The sequence below is a fragment of the Homo sapiens genome, chromosome 21, assembly GCF_000001405.40.
Source record: "Homo sapiens chromosome 21, GRCh38.p14 Primary Assembly".
NCBI lineage: Eukaryota > Metazoa > Chordata > Mammalia > Primates > Hominidae > Homo > Homo sapiens.
The window spans coordinates 46647267-46663749 of NC_000021.9; the positions used below are offsets into that span (position 1 = coordinate 46647267).

General features: G+C 47.6%; 1 protein-coding gene and 1 pseudogene across 15 annotated transcripts in view, besides 2 other annotated features; one reads left to right on the forward strand and one right to left on the reverse strand.

Moving 5' to 3' along the window:
• Nucleotides 1-16483, forward strand: part of PRMT2 (protein arginine methyltransferase 2) — a 29451-nt gene that overhangs the window by 11593 nt on the left and 1375 nt on the right. For 3 of the 15 annotated variants that reach the window (NM_206962.4, XM_005261111.5, NM_001535.5), the window contains 6 exons: nt 1192-1353; nt 2309-2473; nt 11479-11654; nt 13567-13696; nt 14534-14670; nt 16117-16288. In NM_206962.4, coding sequence (NP_996845.1) covers nt 1192-1353; nt 2309-2473; nt 11479-11654; nt 13567-13696; nt 14534-14670; nt 16117-16288 — 942 coding nt within the window. Of the gene's footprint in view, nt 1-1191; nt 1354-2308; nt 2474-4539; nt 7832-11478; nt 14005-14533; nt 14671-16116; nt 16289-16483 lie in introns of those variants that run through there. The other 12 variants (XM_006723998.5, XM_047440759.1, NM_001286676.2 and 9 more) reach the window with 7 other exon arrangements.
• DSTNP1 (DSTN pseudogene 1) lies at nt 5864-6849 on the reverse strand (annotated as a pseudogene).
• Nucleotides 14030-14139: a silencer, noted in NCBI's record as "silent region_13425". NCBI's record gives its function as "represses an Ori minimal core promoter by ATAC-STARR-seq in GM12878 lymphoblastoid cells {active_cell/tissue: GM12878}" and the evidence as "EXISTENCE:reporter gene assay evidence [ECO:0000049][PMID:35858748]".
• Nucleotides 14240-14289: an enhancer, noted in NCBI's record as "active region_18607". NCBI's record gives its function as "activates an Ori minimal core promoter by ATAC-STARR-seq in GM12878 lymphoblastoid cells {active_cell/tissue: GM12878}" and the evidence as "EXISTENCE:reporter gene assay evidence [ECO:0000049][PMID:35858748]".

A 16483-nucleotide genomic window follows, 5' to 3' on the forward strand; every position in this document is an offset into this window, starting at 1 on the left:
TTTTGATTTTTGTTGATTCGTGTGTTAAGTAATTTAGCCTGAATTTGTGAAGTTTTGTGACTTTGTGAAATTTTTTCCCACGTACAACTTTTTTCTTTGTATAGCCTAATATGGTTTTCTTTTCTTTGTGACTTCTTTTTCTTTTCTTTGTGAAAAACCTTCCTCACTATAAGATTATAAATACCCACACTTTTGTTTTCAGAACTGTTATGATTCTGTGTTATTTTATTTTTGTTTTTTATGTTTTTTAGAGATGGTGTCACACTCTGTCGTATGAGTGGCTGGAGTGCGGTGGTGCAGTCATAGTGCACTGTATCCTCAAACTCCTGGGTTTAAGGGACCTTCACCTTAGCTTCCCAAAGTACTGGGATTACAGGGGTGAGGCACCCTGCCTGGCCTTCTGATTCTATTTTAAACAATGAGATTTTAAATAATAAAAAATCTAGAAATTATTTGTTGTAAAAAATATAATGTAAAATTCCGCCCTAATGTATGCCCACAAATCTCCAGCGACCCCAGCCTCAGTTACTGGACAGTTCCCTTCGCGTTGATGTGAAACGGTGCGTTTGTCCTGCTCTGGATTTCAGGGGTCTGCTGTAGAATTCCTGTTGTTTCACTGGTCTGTTTACTGCAGTTCCCAGTGCTTCGTCATTTCCATCACTGCACCTTTGTAGGATCTGCAAGAGCTAGGTCTCCAGCAGTTCTTTTTTTTTTAAAGCATTTTCCTCATTAGCCTTGGGCACTTACTGTTTTGAAACTAATTTTATTATCATTTTGTTGTGCTTTCTCCTTTAGTAGGTACTGCATGGAATGTTTATGTTAATTTTGGGAGAGCTGACATCTTTATAACATTGACTCTCAGTCTCTGATTACTTAAGCTTTGTTTAATATCTCTTAGTATTTTAAGATAAGGACAATATCTCTTTGTCATACATGGTTGTGCACCTTTCTTGTTAAATTTGTTCCTAGGTATTTTTTGTGTATTATTACTGTTATAAGGGGGTGGGTGAAGTGTTCTCTAAATACCAATGAGATTAACTTGGTTGACAGTGATGTCCAGGCCTTCCATAGTCTTCCATAGGGGTGTTGGGGTCAGGGGTCATCAGCTGTGGCTCTGACCCTCCATCTCAGTCCAGACCTCAGCATGGCTCTAGGTCACAGGCAGTGATTCTGAATGTGCATTTCTTCCAGAAACTCCACTTGGAGATGTTGGCAGACCAGCCACGAACAACTAAATACCACAGTGTCATCCTGCAGAATAAAGAATCCCTGACGGATAAAGTCATCCTGGACGTGGGCTGTGGGACTGGGATCATCAGTCTCTTCTGTGCACACTATGCGCGGCCTAGAGCGGTGAGTGGGGTCTCGAGCGCATCCCGGGTGTTTGTGCCGAGGCTGGTGACGTCCGAGGTGGCCTCTGAGTGTGCTGACTTGTGACCCTGAGCTGTTGGGGGCTCACCGGTGACTCCATGGTCTTGTTGAGCACCCTGCACGTGGGGCTCAGGGTCGGTAAAATAGCAGTGCGTGGAGACCGCGTGCTAGAGGCCGTGGCGCCCGCGTACAATGAGTCGCAGACAGCACAGACGGGAGTAGGGCAGAATAGACAATATCCCGTGAATTGCGTGGGGCGGGGTATGTTCTGTGAGACGTTTATTTCAGTTGAGTAGAGAAACACGTGCACCCACATGTCTGTGCTGGGCCTTGGGTGTGGTTGGTCTCATGGGGTTGGGAGGGATGCACACGCTGGGCCCCCTCCCCACCCCTCTTAGGCCGTCTATACTGTGCTGAGCTGAGCCGAGCTGCAGCCTTGGAGACTCCTTACACAGTGGGTGGGGTCGCAGCACAGTGTCCACCCAAGTCCAGGCTCTGCAGGACCCAGGACCCAGCGCTTGGGTGCTTCCCACCAGACCCTTCCCTGAGAACCTGGGTTTGAAATTGTCTGACAGGCCTCAGATGTGGCACAGACCAGCATTGTCACTTGGGTGCTAAGAAGTTGCTGTGCTGGTCATGGATTAAGATTGCTGTGCGTGTGGCAGCCGGCTCGGGCATGCGAGTCTTCCATCCACTTGCAGCCCTGCGTCTGTGTCTTGTCCGGGAGGTGGGGGCAGTTGGGAGGGTTAGAGGCGGCTCCTTTCTGGGTGCCCCTGGAGGGGCAGGTGTGGCCAGTCCTCGCTGCCTCTGCTGTCTGGAATGCTGCTTCCCTCTTGTGTCATTGACCATTTCTCGTGATGCTGGTTGTGACTCAGGAGAGTAGATGACGGGCCGTGTGCCGGCCGGATGTACGCTGACGGTGCCTCTGCTGCTGCAGGTGTACGCGGTGGAGGCCAGTGAGATGGCACAGCACACGGGGCAGCTGGTCCTGCAGAACGGCTTTGCTGACATCATCACCGTGTACCAGCAGAAGGTGGAGGATGTGGTGCTGCCCGAGAAGGTGGACGTGCTGGTGTCTGAGTGGATGGGGACCTGCCTGCTGGTGAGGGCGGGCGTGCGGGCAGCTGGGGGCCGGAGCTGGGGGGCTTCTGAGCACGGGCTCGGCTGGGCCAACCTCAGGATCTCAAGGGTCGTGCGTGATTCATTTTGATGTTTTCCCTAATGTGAGGTCTAATTAATTTCTTGTGTGGACATTGGCTCAGTGTCTTGAATTTTCACCTGATTTAAAAAATGCCTTTATGAGAAATTTAAGTCAAAGTTCATGTAACATTTTCATGAGTGATTTACATGAACTGTGTTCTCCTCGGGGATCTGTAAAAATCCTGTGCCTAACAGGTAAGGCTGTTTCTTTAATGCCAGTAGGGCCTTCGTCCCTGGCCAGGGTCTCCTCGCCTTAGACTGGCCCCAGTGATGCTGTGAAGCCACTTGGGCATCTGTAGGGCCAGCATATGCCTGTCCTGTCAGGGTTGCTCACCCTGAGTTTCACATGTGGGTGGAAGTGGACTGTTTTCTGGTTGCCTGTGAATATGCCCTGCACAAACGCTGTCTGCTTGGAGGGAAGTTGACGGGAGTGTGGCTGGATGCTGTCTGCCCGCGCTGTCTTCCTGGGCTCAGCATCCTGGGACACAGGACATTGTAGTGGAGCATCCCAACCTGAAACTTTGTCTCAGTGTAGAGACCCAGAAAGATGGGGTCTGGGTGAAGGAGTGTGGAGTATGGCTGCTGCTTTCCAGGAAACGGTTTCCCCTGGTAACAGATGGCATTGGGCTTTTAGTCCTGTTGAAATTTTGTTGTCAGAAGATAAATGTAAATAGACTCAATGTCCATGCTGTGACTTGGCTTATTAATAACATCTGTGGAGCCATAAGATGACACACAGGAGAAACGGGCTCCACTCCTACCCCCTGAAGGGGCATTTGCCTTTGCCCTGAACAGCAGCGCCCATTCAATAAGTATCTGTTGACAGCTGGTGCCCCGGCCACGGGGACAAAAAGAGGACAGAGCAGGAGTGAGGCTGTGGTGAGGCCAAGGTTGTGTGGGCGGTGATACGGGGAAGCCTGGCTGCTGGAGTGTCCGGCTGTGCCCTGGATTGGGTGAGAGGGACACAGGAGGGACGTGGGGCAGAGGGAGGGGAGAGGAGTAGCCACTGTGTTCACCGTGTTGCCGTGTTCCAGGGCTGCCCAGTGGCCGGATTGGCCAGACTGTGTTGCATCAGGGAGGCAGAGGCCAGATGTAGGGAACTGTGTGTCTGAGGACTTTGTGCCACGTCCTGGACACCGAAGGGAGTGCCACTGGTGTGTGAGTGATGGAGTAAGAGGTGGGCTGTGTTTTGGAGGCCCCTGGGTATGTGTGGCCGGGACTGGAGGCCAGGGACTGGCTGTGGTCCAGCCCCAGCATGCAGAGAGGCCTGGGACATTCTGTGTGAGGGGAGGCCCCTCTGTGTGGGAGGTGCACAGACTTCCAGGACTGACCATGGCTTTATTGTCAGGATGCAGGAGCCAGGGCTTGGCATGGGGCAGGTGTGGGGGATGCAGAGCAGGGCCAGCAGGCAGGATGTGCTGATGGGGGCCTGGCGTGAGCAGGACGGTGCCTCCCAGCCCTGAGCCGCAGGGAGTGGGCCACCAGGACTGGCTGGGGGCCGGGGTAGGGAGGGCCCTGGGGAGGGTGGACATCTGTGTGGGTCTTGAACATAGGATGCCCATCCGATGTGCAGGGCCAGCTATTGGTTGGGCAGTGGGGACATGGCCTGGGGTCTCGGTGGGCGATGGCCTGGAGGGGCCACCCTGAGCAGGACATTTGGAGGAGTGCTGGGGTGAGTCAGACAGGACCATGTGGTGGTTTTCTCCAGTGCAGGCAGTGGAGGGGGAAGGCGGAGCTTTGCAGGTGAGGGCTTGAGGCAGTTCCGACTTCAGACTCCCCCCCAGGGAGACTGAGGGACCACCACCATCATTACTCAGGCCAAGGAGGCCCAGAACAGGGCAGACGGGGCTGCAAGAGTTCCTATGGCGATAGTTGTTGGGGCACAGGGTTGGTCGGATTTGAGGGAGGGAGGGTATGAATCTGGGAGTCGTTGGTGCGGTTGTACCCACCTTCACTTTCCGTCCCCAGGCTGCGCCTCTCCTGAGCTGCCGCATTCTCCCCTGCACCTGTGCGTCTGGCCCTCTTCACGTCCTCCTGGCCTGCTGTCTGCCTCTCCCCTGCACCTGTGCGTCTGTCCCTCTTCATGTCCTCCTTGCCTGCTGTCTGCCTGTTCTCAGAGCCCCTCAGCCCTCAGGCCTTCATCTCTCCTGGCCCATCTTCCTACTCTGACGCTGACATGTAGTAAAAGTCTGAAGACAGAGAAGAGTGCATGTGCGTTTAGCATAGGAGGGGCAGCTTTCAGTCAGTGCAGCAAGGGCATGTAGTTGTTCAGAGATGGTGCTGGAACGACTGATTTGGAGAAAAGAGGCCCTTCTTCACACCATCTGCTAAAATAAACCTCAGATGGGCTCAAGAGTTAAATATTTAAGAAAAGGAGGAAACAAAAAAATTGCTACAAGTTTATTTGTTGTTAGGATGGGAAAGGTTTTTCTAAGAACCAAGTTCATAATGAAGCTGTCAAATAAAATACTTGACAAAAAATTCCCCTTCATACATTAGCACAGCTAAAAACTATTAAATGGTAAATGCAACTAAAGAATTGCAGCTAAAGAATTGTGTGACGTAAAGAGTTGCAATAAGAAAAGCATAAGATAAAGGTAACCTCATGGAAGGTGAGCAGGGACTAGAAAGGCAGAGAAATGCCAGAGGCCAGGAGCTTGAACGTTGTTCAATGCCACCAACAATTTGAAAGTAACTGTAATAGTTTTGACCTGGGAAGTTGGCTGAGCAATCCTCTAATATCTGATGCTCCCGATGCTGAGGTTGTGGGGAAGTGTGCACCGCCATGCCCTTTTTTTGGCAGTGTAAATTGGTAAAGCCTTTTGAAGGAAAATAGGGCAGAATAAGTCAAAGAGCATTAAAATTTTTTTGTTTTTCCAGAAGCAGCAAAGTTCTGAAGGAGACGCAAGTAAAGATACCACAGGTGTCCTAGATTGTCAACAGACCATTTAATCATTTTTGTTAACAAAGCAGGTGACAATTGAGCCCTAATTTGCGTTATCATTAGTTGTTACAGGATCTTGCTTGTTCTCCTGAGGCCACGCCACGATTTCCGAGAAGCAGGTTGCACACTCAGCAGTCTCCCACTAGCCAGTGGCACTGCAGGTGCAGGGGCTGCCTCCTGGACCTTTCAGGACGCTTTGCAAGGTCACTGAGGATCTCCATTGCACATTTGGTAGAATTAAAAGACTGCCAGACTCAGTCTTACTGTTGTTAGTGTATTCGTGCTGTCAATATGTGATGAGGACATATTATATTCCGTTATTCTCTTTAGCTCAAGGAAGAATAAAGAATTTGGACCAAAATTACAACCACATTATGACGAATTTTCTAAGCAAAAGAAACAAAGTAACTGCTGAGGTTAACAAAGATGTAATAATTCTCTTCACACAGCCTTGTACTGTTTTATTGACTGTATTATCACAAATCCTGAGCTTAACGAAAGTCTTTATAAGTCAGCTCATGAAAACAGGCACGTGGCCAGTAAGAATTTAATTTCATACCAATAACACTTCAGACTTCGGATGTATTTAAGGCTGTTTGCACATATTTATAGAATGTGTGGTGTAGATGATGGGACAGCTCCCCCTCAGCAAGACTCTGGCCTAAATGTATTTGCTTTATTTACACAACAAGAGGATAAGCGTAAACACGGGCACTTTCAGTTTGTGGCACTGAAGGACGATCTACACAGGGCACCCTGCAGAGGCCACAACCAAGGCCGCCTGGCTTCCCAGTGGGACAGGCCTAAGGGAGGACTTCTGGCCCCTTTGCTTGATGTTCATGTTTTATGCCTTGATATTTCTTTTTGGTTGCATTCCCTGGAGCTCATGTAGATCATTTTACTTTTCAGAGGTGCTAGTTCTGGTGCCCACACGCACACACACAAAACCATCAACTCTTCTGGATTCCTTGGTTTTAAAGCTTGCCTCATACAAAGTACAGAGACATCTTTTTCAGGAAACATTGCCACCACATGCTTGAAGGACCGCTTATGGCTACACTTAGACATCTCCAACCAAGGTCTCTTCACCTCCTTCTACAACAATGCACTTTGTCTGCACTGGGACAAAAAATGACAGCCTTTTTTCTTTTCTTGTTTTTTTTTTTTTTTGGCGTGGAGCATTTCCGAACTTTCACGTCATAAAAAATGCAGCATAGTTAATCAGCAGCTTGCACTTCTGAGGGCACATTCACCTCGGGGGAGGAGGAAGGAGGAGGAGCTGGTGGGTGCTGAGACTGCAGTGTCCTCCTTCCCAGCAGCTGGACCCAGAGACCAGGCACCAAATTTTTTTGATGAAATTATCCTAAGGAAATAATCAAATTTGTACAGAAATTTATGTTAAAAAATGTTCATGGCAGCACCGTTTAAAATGGGGAGAAAATTGGAAACAACAGAATTGTAGCAATACATATGATCATTAAAAATTATGTTTTAGAAAGATTTTTAACAGTCTTTGGAAAAAGTTGGTGACATGTTGCTAGTTTTTAAAAAAAGTACAGAGTATGTACAGTATGATTCCAATTTTGTGTTTAAAAATTAGACATAGTGGTAACCTAGCTTCAGTTCCAGATAAGATGGAGAAGGCATACTCCTTTCATGTCTCCCACTGAATGCAGCTATAAATCCTGGAGAGTAGACAGGGAGAAACTATTTGAGGACTCTGGAACAAAGACATAGTAGCAATCGACTGGTGAAGAAGACAAGAATTTGAAGTACGGTCAAGTATCTGTGGGCTCCACATCTGTAGATACAACCTACATGTATTGAAAATATCAGAAAATAAAAATAACAATACAACAATAAACATCAATACAAATAACACACCAATACAGTATAGCAGCTACTTACATAACACTGACATTGTATTAGGTAGAAGTAATCTAGAGATGATTTAAAGTCTGTCGGAGGATGTGTGTAGCCTGTATGTAAAAACCACGTTATTTTATATGGGGGACTTTAGCATCCAAGGATTTGAATATCCACGGGGGTCCTGGAACAAGTTCCCCATAGACACCAAGAAACAACTGTATTCCTGAAACAGTCTTGAGTTATCATTTTCTTTCTTCTCCCTCTATGTATGTACATAGAGTGTACATACATAGAGTGAGAAGCAAAGAAGGTCCATGAAATGGACCAATTCTTTTGAAAACTGCAAATTACCACAGTTCATCTAACATGAAATAGATAACCTGAATGGTCCAATAACTAGTAAAGATATTGAATTAATAGTTTAAAAACCTTCTGAAAGGTAAATCTCTACCCTAAATGATTTCACTGGTGAATTCTATCAACACATTTAATGAAGAAAAAACTCCAGTTCTAAACAACTTTCAGAAAAGAAGAGGGAACACTTCCTCACTCATTATATGAGGTAAGCATTGCCCTAATACCAAAACCAATGTTAACACAAAATATGAAACCTACAGACCAATAACCCTCATGAACATAAATGTAAAAATCCTCAAGAAAACATTAGCAAATTTAAACCAGCAGGATATAAAAGGAATAATAATACACCATAACAAAAAAAGAAACTATCCTTGGAATGCAAGGCTGGTTCAATATTTGAAAATCAATCAGTGTAATCTACCATATTAACAGTCTGAAGAAGAAAAATCATGATTATATCAATACAGAAAAAAATTGACAAAATTCAACATCAGTTCATGATAAAATTCTCAGCAAACTAGAAAGGGAAGGAAATTTAACATGACATAGGACATCTACAAAAAAACCTACAGAAAATCCTAAGGAGTCTATGAGAAAATTTCCTAAAACTAGTAAGTGAGTTTAACAAGATCACAGAGTGCAAGGTCATCATACAGAAGTCATTTTTATATCTTAGCAATGTACAATTAGAAATTAAAGAATATCACAGTAGCTTCAAAAATATGAAAGGCTTAGAAATCTAACAAAATGTGATCTGGATGCTGAAAATGATGAGATGATAATGAAAGAAACCCCAGAAAACCTAAATAAATGGAGAGATAAGAAGGCTCAACCTAGTAAAGACGTATGTTCTTTTTAAATTGATCTGTAGACTTAATAAAATTCCAATTAGAATCCAAGCAGGATTTGTTCTTATAGATAAGCTCATTATGAAATGTATATGGAATGTAAAGGAACTAGTGCTATGGTTTGTCCCCACCAAATCTCATGTTGAAATTTGATCCTCAGTGTGGTGGTGTTGGGAGGTGGGGCCTAGTGGGAGGTGTTTGGGTCATGGGTGTGGATCCCTCATGAATAGATGAATGCCCTTCCTCGTGGGTAGATAAGTGAGTTCTAGCTCTTTCAGGTCCCAACAAGAGCTGGTTGTGAAAAAGAGCCTGGCACGCCCACTTGCCTCTGCTCCCACCCTGTGGTCTCTGCACGTGCCAGCTCCCCTTTGCTTTCCACCGTGAGGGGAAATAGCCTGAAGCCCTCACTGGATGCCCAATCCTGAACTTTCCCAACCAGCAGAACCATGAGCCAAATAAACCTCATTTCTTTATAAATTACCCAGCCTCAGATATTCCTTTTTGGCAACACAAAAATGGACTAAGAGAACTAGAGTAGCTGATAGAATTTTTTAAAAGAAGGGTAAAGTTGGAGGAACTATACTACTTGATTTTGAAGCTACAGTAATCAGGACAATGTGGTGAAGGGACAGACACGTAAGTCAATGGAATGGAGACGAGAGATTTCTACAAATATGGTCAATGGGTTTTTTTTAACAAAGGTACAAAAATCAATTTAATGGAGAAAAGACAGTCTTTTCAGCAAATGTTACTGGAATAGTTGTCATCCATATCTAAAAAACAACACCTCAACCTCACATCTCATACACAGCTGAACTTAAAATTGATCATAGATCTAAGTGTGTGAAATGTAAAACTATAAACCTCCTTGAAAAAATCATAGAAAATCTTCATCACCTGGACTTGGGCAAAGACTTTTTACTCTAAAAGCGTGATCCATAGCAGAAAATGTTGATAAATTGAATTTCATCAAAACTAAAAATGACTGCTCTGCAAAAGGATGATGCTAAGAGAATAAAAAAGACAAGCTAAGATTAGGAGAAAATATTGCAAAGAACATATCCAGTGTGTGTTCTGAATATACAGAGAAATCTCAAAACTCAACAGGAAGAAAACAAGCCAATTGAAAATGGGCAAAATACTTGAACAGACACTTTACCAAAGTGGATATACAGATATCAAATACACACATGAAAAGATGTTCAGCATAGCCATCAGGGAAATGCACATTAAAGCCACAGTGAGATATCACTTACACCCATTGAAAAATGACTACAATAAAAAAAAAATCTGATAGTAATACCAACTGTCATCGAGGATGAGGAACAGCTGAAAGTCATGCATTGCTGGAGGGAACATGCCACTGTGGAAACAGGTGGGTGCTTTCTTATAGACTTGTATGTGCACTCACCTTATGCCCAGGAGTCCCTCTCCTGTGTGTTCAACCCAGAGATATGCAAGCTGTGTTCACACAAAAACCTGTATGTGAATGATTATACTAGCTCTCTTTATAATTGCAAAAAAAAAAAAAACAAAACCTGGAAACAACCCAAGTGTCCTTCATCTGGATAATCCTTAAGGATAAACTGGTGCGTCCACACAGTGGAATACCACTGAGCAGTGAAGAGGAGCCAGTTATTGAAACAGGTAATTTGGAGGAACCCCAGAAACGGTACAGTGAGTGAAAGAAACTTGTCTTGAAAGGTTATGTACTGTTTGGTTCCATTTGTATGATATTCTCAAAAAGACACAAGACCATGGGGATGGAGACCAGATCGGTGGCTGGAGAGGCTGGGGTCGGGGAGGGCATGACCACCAGAGAAAAGGGTGAAGAGTGTTTTGGGTGGCAGAGCTGTGTGTATGCTGGCTGTGGTTGTGAGGACAAAATCCACACAAGCGCTCAAGTTCGTAGGCTGTACGCCAGAAAAGCTGTTTCACTACATAACTGAAAAAATAAGATTGAAAAATAAGATGTATATATTTTTTGTGTGCGTGTGTAGAAAAATACTTGAAGGTAAACTGCAGAGTGATAACAGTGGTTCCTTCTAGGTACTGGGTTAATATGTGATTTTTATGTTTGTTTGAGCTTTTCTAAGTTTTCTACATTTTCCGTACAAAACATGTATTACTTCTGTAATAAAAGCAGCTTGAGATTATTTAAGGAAGCAAAACACTTCTGTTGTTTCTCATCAACTACAGGATGAAGTGCAGGCTCCCTGGGTGGTTTGCAGGGGCCACAGGCCTTGGCCCCACCTCGCTGGTGCTCCCTCTACTCCTTTCTGTGTTTGAAGCAAGTTCTGGTTCAGACAGAAAGCCTGGCCTTTGAGGGCGTTGGGTCCCCACTTCCTCAGTCATAGATGTGATGTGCTTCCCTTGACTTGGGACCTTCTGAGGGATGCAAGGTGGACCAAAGGACCCGTGAATGGCCAGGGCATGCCTGCGTGGCTTTCGGTTTCTTAAGCAGTGATTTCAGTCCACTTAAAGGGTGTGAAAATTCTGAGAATGCTACGGACCAAATATATTTTATGTAACAGTTGGGACCCGGCAACACTTCAGGGCTCTTTCAAAATCTGGTAGCTACGAGCTCTTCCGTGACTGAGATGGGACAAGAGTGAAGATTTGTCCTTGCTTTTAGCTCTGCTCCAGTTCATAGTTCTAATGGGAAATTATGTGACTTAAACCCAGGCTGTGAGATGCATCAGTGACGTGTGGGCATAAAATAAACCCTCGAGATGTTCTCTTGCATGGTACACTGGCCTAGGCAGGAATATTCTTGAGGCTAAAACTGTAGAACTGTCAGACTAGTGTTACGAATGTGGTGGTGAGAGGCCTGTGCAGCCGCGGGGCCTGTGATGTGTCTCCTGTGTGTCTTTCACTCCTATGCAGTTTGAGTTCATGATCGAGTCCATCCTGTATGCCCGGGATGCCTGGCTGAAGGAGGACGGGGTCATTTGGCCCACCATGGCTGCGTTGCACCTTGTGCCCTGCAGTGCTGATAAGGATTATCGTAGCAAGGTGCTCTTCTGGGACAACGCGTACGAGTTCAACCTCAGCGCTCTGAAGTAAGTGTCCACAGCTGGGACTGGCACCGTCTTGTGGGGCCTCCTGGTCCACAGTCTGCAGGTGGGCCAAGGCCCTGGGAGATCCCATACGACGGTTGGATAAATGAGGGTACCTGTGCACCCAGATAGGACAATCTGTTGTAGCATTGGAGTAATTAAAGCAGTATGGTGCTATAACAAGACAGATGGGCAGAGCAGGGTAGAATGCAAGGAACAAAAATTTTCGTATGTGAAAAAGGTGGCATTACGATTAGGAGGGAGTGAGGGCCAAGTCAGCAAATTATTCTGGAGCAGTTGATTAGCCCTTGTTCTCTCACGCCATACGTGAAAACTTAATTCTGCATGGAATCAGCGTCAGCGACAGACATCCATGGGGGCCTGTGTGCACCATCTTAGGTGGAGAAATGAGCAGCAACAATGGATGGAATGGACCCTGGGCTAGATAGAATCTGGCAGTCTATGTGGCAGAAATCAGCAAAAACACGATTGTAAAAGCAAACAAGTAATTAGAGAAATCACGTGCTGTCAGGTCTTGGAATCAATTAGAAAGAGATGACTAGCCAGATGGAATTGCAGCCCAATCATGTGAACAGGCAAACCGCAAAAAATAAATAAAATTACCAATAAATATATGAAAAATTATAATGTTGTTAGTAGTTAAAATGCGAATTAAAATACATGCTGTTTTCCCTACCAGACAAGCAAAGAGTAAATTAAAATAGTAGCCCAGGCTTGCCTGGCAGTGGCAGGGAGGTGTGGCTGCCAGGGCCTTAGAGGTTGGCATCAGGCTGCCCACCCCAGTCACTGCCAGAGCCTCCCACCTGAGTGTTCCTCCCGGCACTGGAAGCCAGTGGCCGTCCAGAGGAACGTGATTGAATTGCTGTATATCCATCTGGTGGAGCACTGCTGTGTGTCTGTTAAAAAAGAAACCATAGGTTTTTAGGGATATGTAATGATATTTAGAAAGGGTTTAAGAGACAGTAAAGCTTGGCAGAATAAACCGTGTATACAGAATGGATGTTTGCTTGCATAAATAAATTTATATAAATATGTCTGGGGGATAAAAATAAGTATATCACAATGCTAAGACAGGCATATGGGGAATTTAAGCTTTTCTTTATACTTGTCCATAGTTTCCAATTTTTAAATTTGTAATTTTTTATCAGAAAAATAAATGTGTAAATATAGTGGAATCTTTATTAAAACATTCACTTTTATTTGCTATTTCAGAAGTTACTGCTTTGCTTATTTTTTACAACATTTCTGTGGTAAATAATCGGTGACTTACAAGCCTAGTGCAGCCAGTGATGGGGGTTGGCAAACGGTGACATGCAGGGGCCATGCGGCGTCTAGTGTCTGTTTCTGTGTTGAATTTGTGTAGCAACAGAGCAAGTATTTCTCCTGAAACTCAGACTCACTCAGGCCACCTCAGCCCTTCTAGTTCCTTTCGTTTATTATAGAGTAACCTACAGCAGGAATACCGCGTTCATTTACTGTTAATAGAAGATCCACAAAAGATTTTGAAATCAAATACATTCTAAAACTAGGCAAGACACGCTGCAACTCCCCTTGTCCTCTGGGTTATGAGGGGTGAGCGTTGGTTTCCGTGTGCTCAGATCCCATGAATGAGACCTCACAGGGAAGCGCCCAGTGACTGGCAGGCTCCTTAATGCCTCCAGGTCAGGCTCAGGAAGTCTCTGGATGCCTGGGTAGAGTCTGGGTCTTCTCAGAGCGGGAGGCACCCAGGGCCTGTGGAGGCCTGAGGGCTGCTCTGGGGTTCCAGGGCCCCAGATAGTGGCTTAGCATCCTGGTGACACAGAAGGGAGAGCACTCACCGCGGTCCCACGTGTGTGTTTTGAAGCCTAAGATGTTTGCAATGACTCTCAACAGTCGCTTTGACCTTTTCCCCTAGATCTTTAGCAGTTAAGGAGTTTTTTTCAAAGCCCAAGTATAACCACATTTTGAAACCAGAAGACTGTCTCTCTGAACCGTGCACTATATTGCAGTTGGACATGAGAACCGTGCAAATTTCTGATCTAGAGGTGAGAAAAAGATGAATTGCTCCTTACATTCGATAATCAGTGACCACGAAACACTCAGACCAGAGCCTGGCTTATCAAAAACCTTCAGTGAGTGCTGGGGGTGTGAGTGAATAACTAATTATTTTATTATGCAAATAAGTGAATTTATAAAACGTTTGCTACTGATTTTTTCCAGTCTTTTTTCTTTTTTACGTTCTATTTTGATTCTTTCATATTGTACACCATTTTATGTCTCCAGCGTCTTCATTTTAGATTTATGTTTAATATTCTCAGCATCTTCAAAATCAAATAAATTATATTTCGTTTCATTATGGTATTTGCATTACAGTTTTTTTCAAGTATTTTAAGCCACTCTTCATGACAGAATCGTTAGAATTCCCTCCGTGAATCCCTGTCTGTGGCCGCGCGGTGGCGCTCGTGGGCTCTGGGCGGTTTCCCCGCGCCCCCGCCCTGCCTGGCGCCCCAGCTGGCGCCGCGTCTGGAGATGGGGCGGGCGCGGTGGCGCCGGCGCGCTTTGGTTTTTAGTTCGTTCTGCTGTGGAAAGGCCCAGCCTGGAGCTCTCCAACTCCTTAACTGGAAGAGCTGAGCGCCGAAAAGATTCCGCAGAATCTGGGGTAGAAAATTGGGCGCAAGAAGCTCAGATGCTTGAAACGTTTCTGACTGAAGCCTCTGAACTCACGATGCGGGTTTTGGGGGTGGTTTCCCCAGGCTGGGGGGCTTTTCTACGGTTCCTGACGCATTCAGCGTCTGCGCGGGGCGCGTGGAGGGGGCCGCCCCAACCCGGGCCCTGCGGTGCCACGCGGTGCCCACGCGTGCCTTGTCATCTGCTTGACCCAGACCCTGAGGGGCGAGCTGCGCTTCGACATCAGGAAGGCGGGGACCCTGCACGGCTTCACGGCCTGGTTTAGCGTCCACTTCCAGAGCCTGCAGGAGGGGCAGCCGCCGCAGGTGCTCAGCACCGGGCCCTTCCACCCGTGAGTGTGCGGGGCGCGGGCACGGGGTGCGGGGTGGGGGGCAGGGGAGTAGGCGGGGTGCGGGGATGGGGCGCGCAGGAGGGGGTGGGACGCGGCGTGGCGGTCGTGGGGGGGTGGGGCACGTGGGGGCGCGGGCAGTGGGGTGGGGGCGGCGCGCATGGGGGCACGGGTGGTGTAGACACCGCAGCCTGTGTGCCCCCTTCCGGGTCTCGCCACCACTCTGGGCCCAGCCTGGGCGTCCCTCCGACAACAGCCCCAACGGGAGGAGCTCCCTGTCTTCCACCCCGCGAGGAGCACCACAGCTCTTCATGGTCTGACCCAAAGCGCCTCCACGGGGCGTCGGGGTTCACCTGACGTTTTTGGAGGTGCCTGTTTTTTGGGACACATTTCCCCGCCAGCACCCTGGGCATGTGTGGCAGTGGAGCTGCCTTCAGGGCCCTGCAGGCCTTCCCTTTGGGTGGGGTTGGCTACCCCGCTCTGGCACCTGCCCCGCTGACTTCCCAGCGTGGTGGCCCCGCGAGGGGACCCCGGCTCCAGGGAGGTCGCAGAGGTGCGGGGTTGATGGCCTGGCCTGGCATGTGGTCCCCATCACAAGAGTCCTGTGGTGGCCCCTCCAGTGCCATCACCGGGTGGAGGTGGGCAGCTTGGAGGCCAGTTATACCCATCCCCGAGTCTGGGGGCGTGGAGGGGGCAGTGACCTGGGGCACAGGCTGGGGTGAGGGGTGTGACCAGAGTCAGGGAAAAACTGGAGACCTGAGGAGCCCCCCACTTCACTGCTGGCCCCACCGTGGACAGTGGGAGTTTGAGGGAAGACAGAGCCTGAGGAACTTAGAGATGTTTCCAACGCAACCCAGTGCAGAATCATAGCGTTTTACTATTTCCCCCCAAATGTGACAGTTGTCCTCACCTTGTAACCTTCACAGAAGCGACTCCTTGGACCTGATTCTGTCTGTGTACACCACAGTTTAACAGCAGGAGCTAGATCACCAGCCTCTGCAGCTTAGGCAAGGGTGCAGGAAGGGGTTGCACAGCCGTCCTCCTGGCGGGCCGGGGAGTCGACACCACACGGGACCTTTAGTGCAGCTGTGTGTCCCCTGAGCTCCCGCATCCTCTGGGCCACCCAGGGTGAGCCGTCCACACCTCCTGGAATCTGAGTGGTCTCAGGAGCAAGCTTGTGTTTGGCATTGGCAGGATCTGTCTCACTAGCGTAACTTTGATCCCAGTGTATCCCATAGAGTCCCTTTAGATCACAGGGCTGGGGGTGTATATGTTCCCTGAGTTAGCCTGAAAAGCCAAGCTTTGTGTCCCCAGGCCCTCAGGGTGGACTGCCGGCTGTGTGGGTGCTGTTGGGGGCGAGAGCCAGTGCGAGCCTGAGTCAGCGCCCCGAGGGCCATGTGGAGACTGCCCTAGCTCAGCCTCCAGGTCACACGCACCCCTGTCTTGCAGCACCACACACTGGAAGCAGACGCTGTTCATGATGGACGACCCAGTCCCTGTCCATACAGGAGACGTGGTCACGGGTTCAGTTGTGTTGCAGAGAAACCCAGTGTGGAGAAGGCACATGTCTGTGGCTCTGAGCTGGGCTGTCACTTCCAGACAAGACCCCACATCTCAAAAAGTAAGATACGTAGTTGTAAGATTCTGTCCTGTGGGTGCCGGTCCTCAGGGAGACAGGCCTGGGTGGTGGTAGTGATGGCAGATGCTGGCCCACACTGGGGTCCACGCCTTTTGTGCAGGAGTGATTTAATCCTTACACAGAAAGCGCCTGTTGTCATTGGCTTCATTTCCCATCTGACAGCACGGGAAGTGGAGG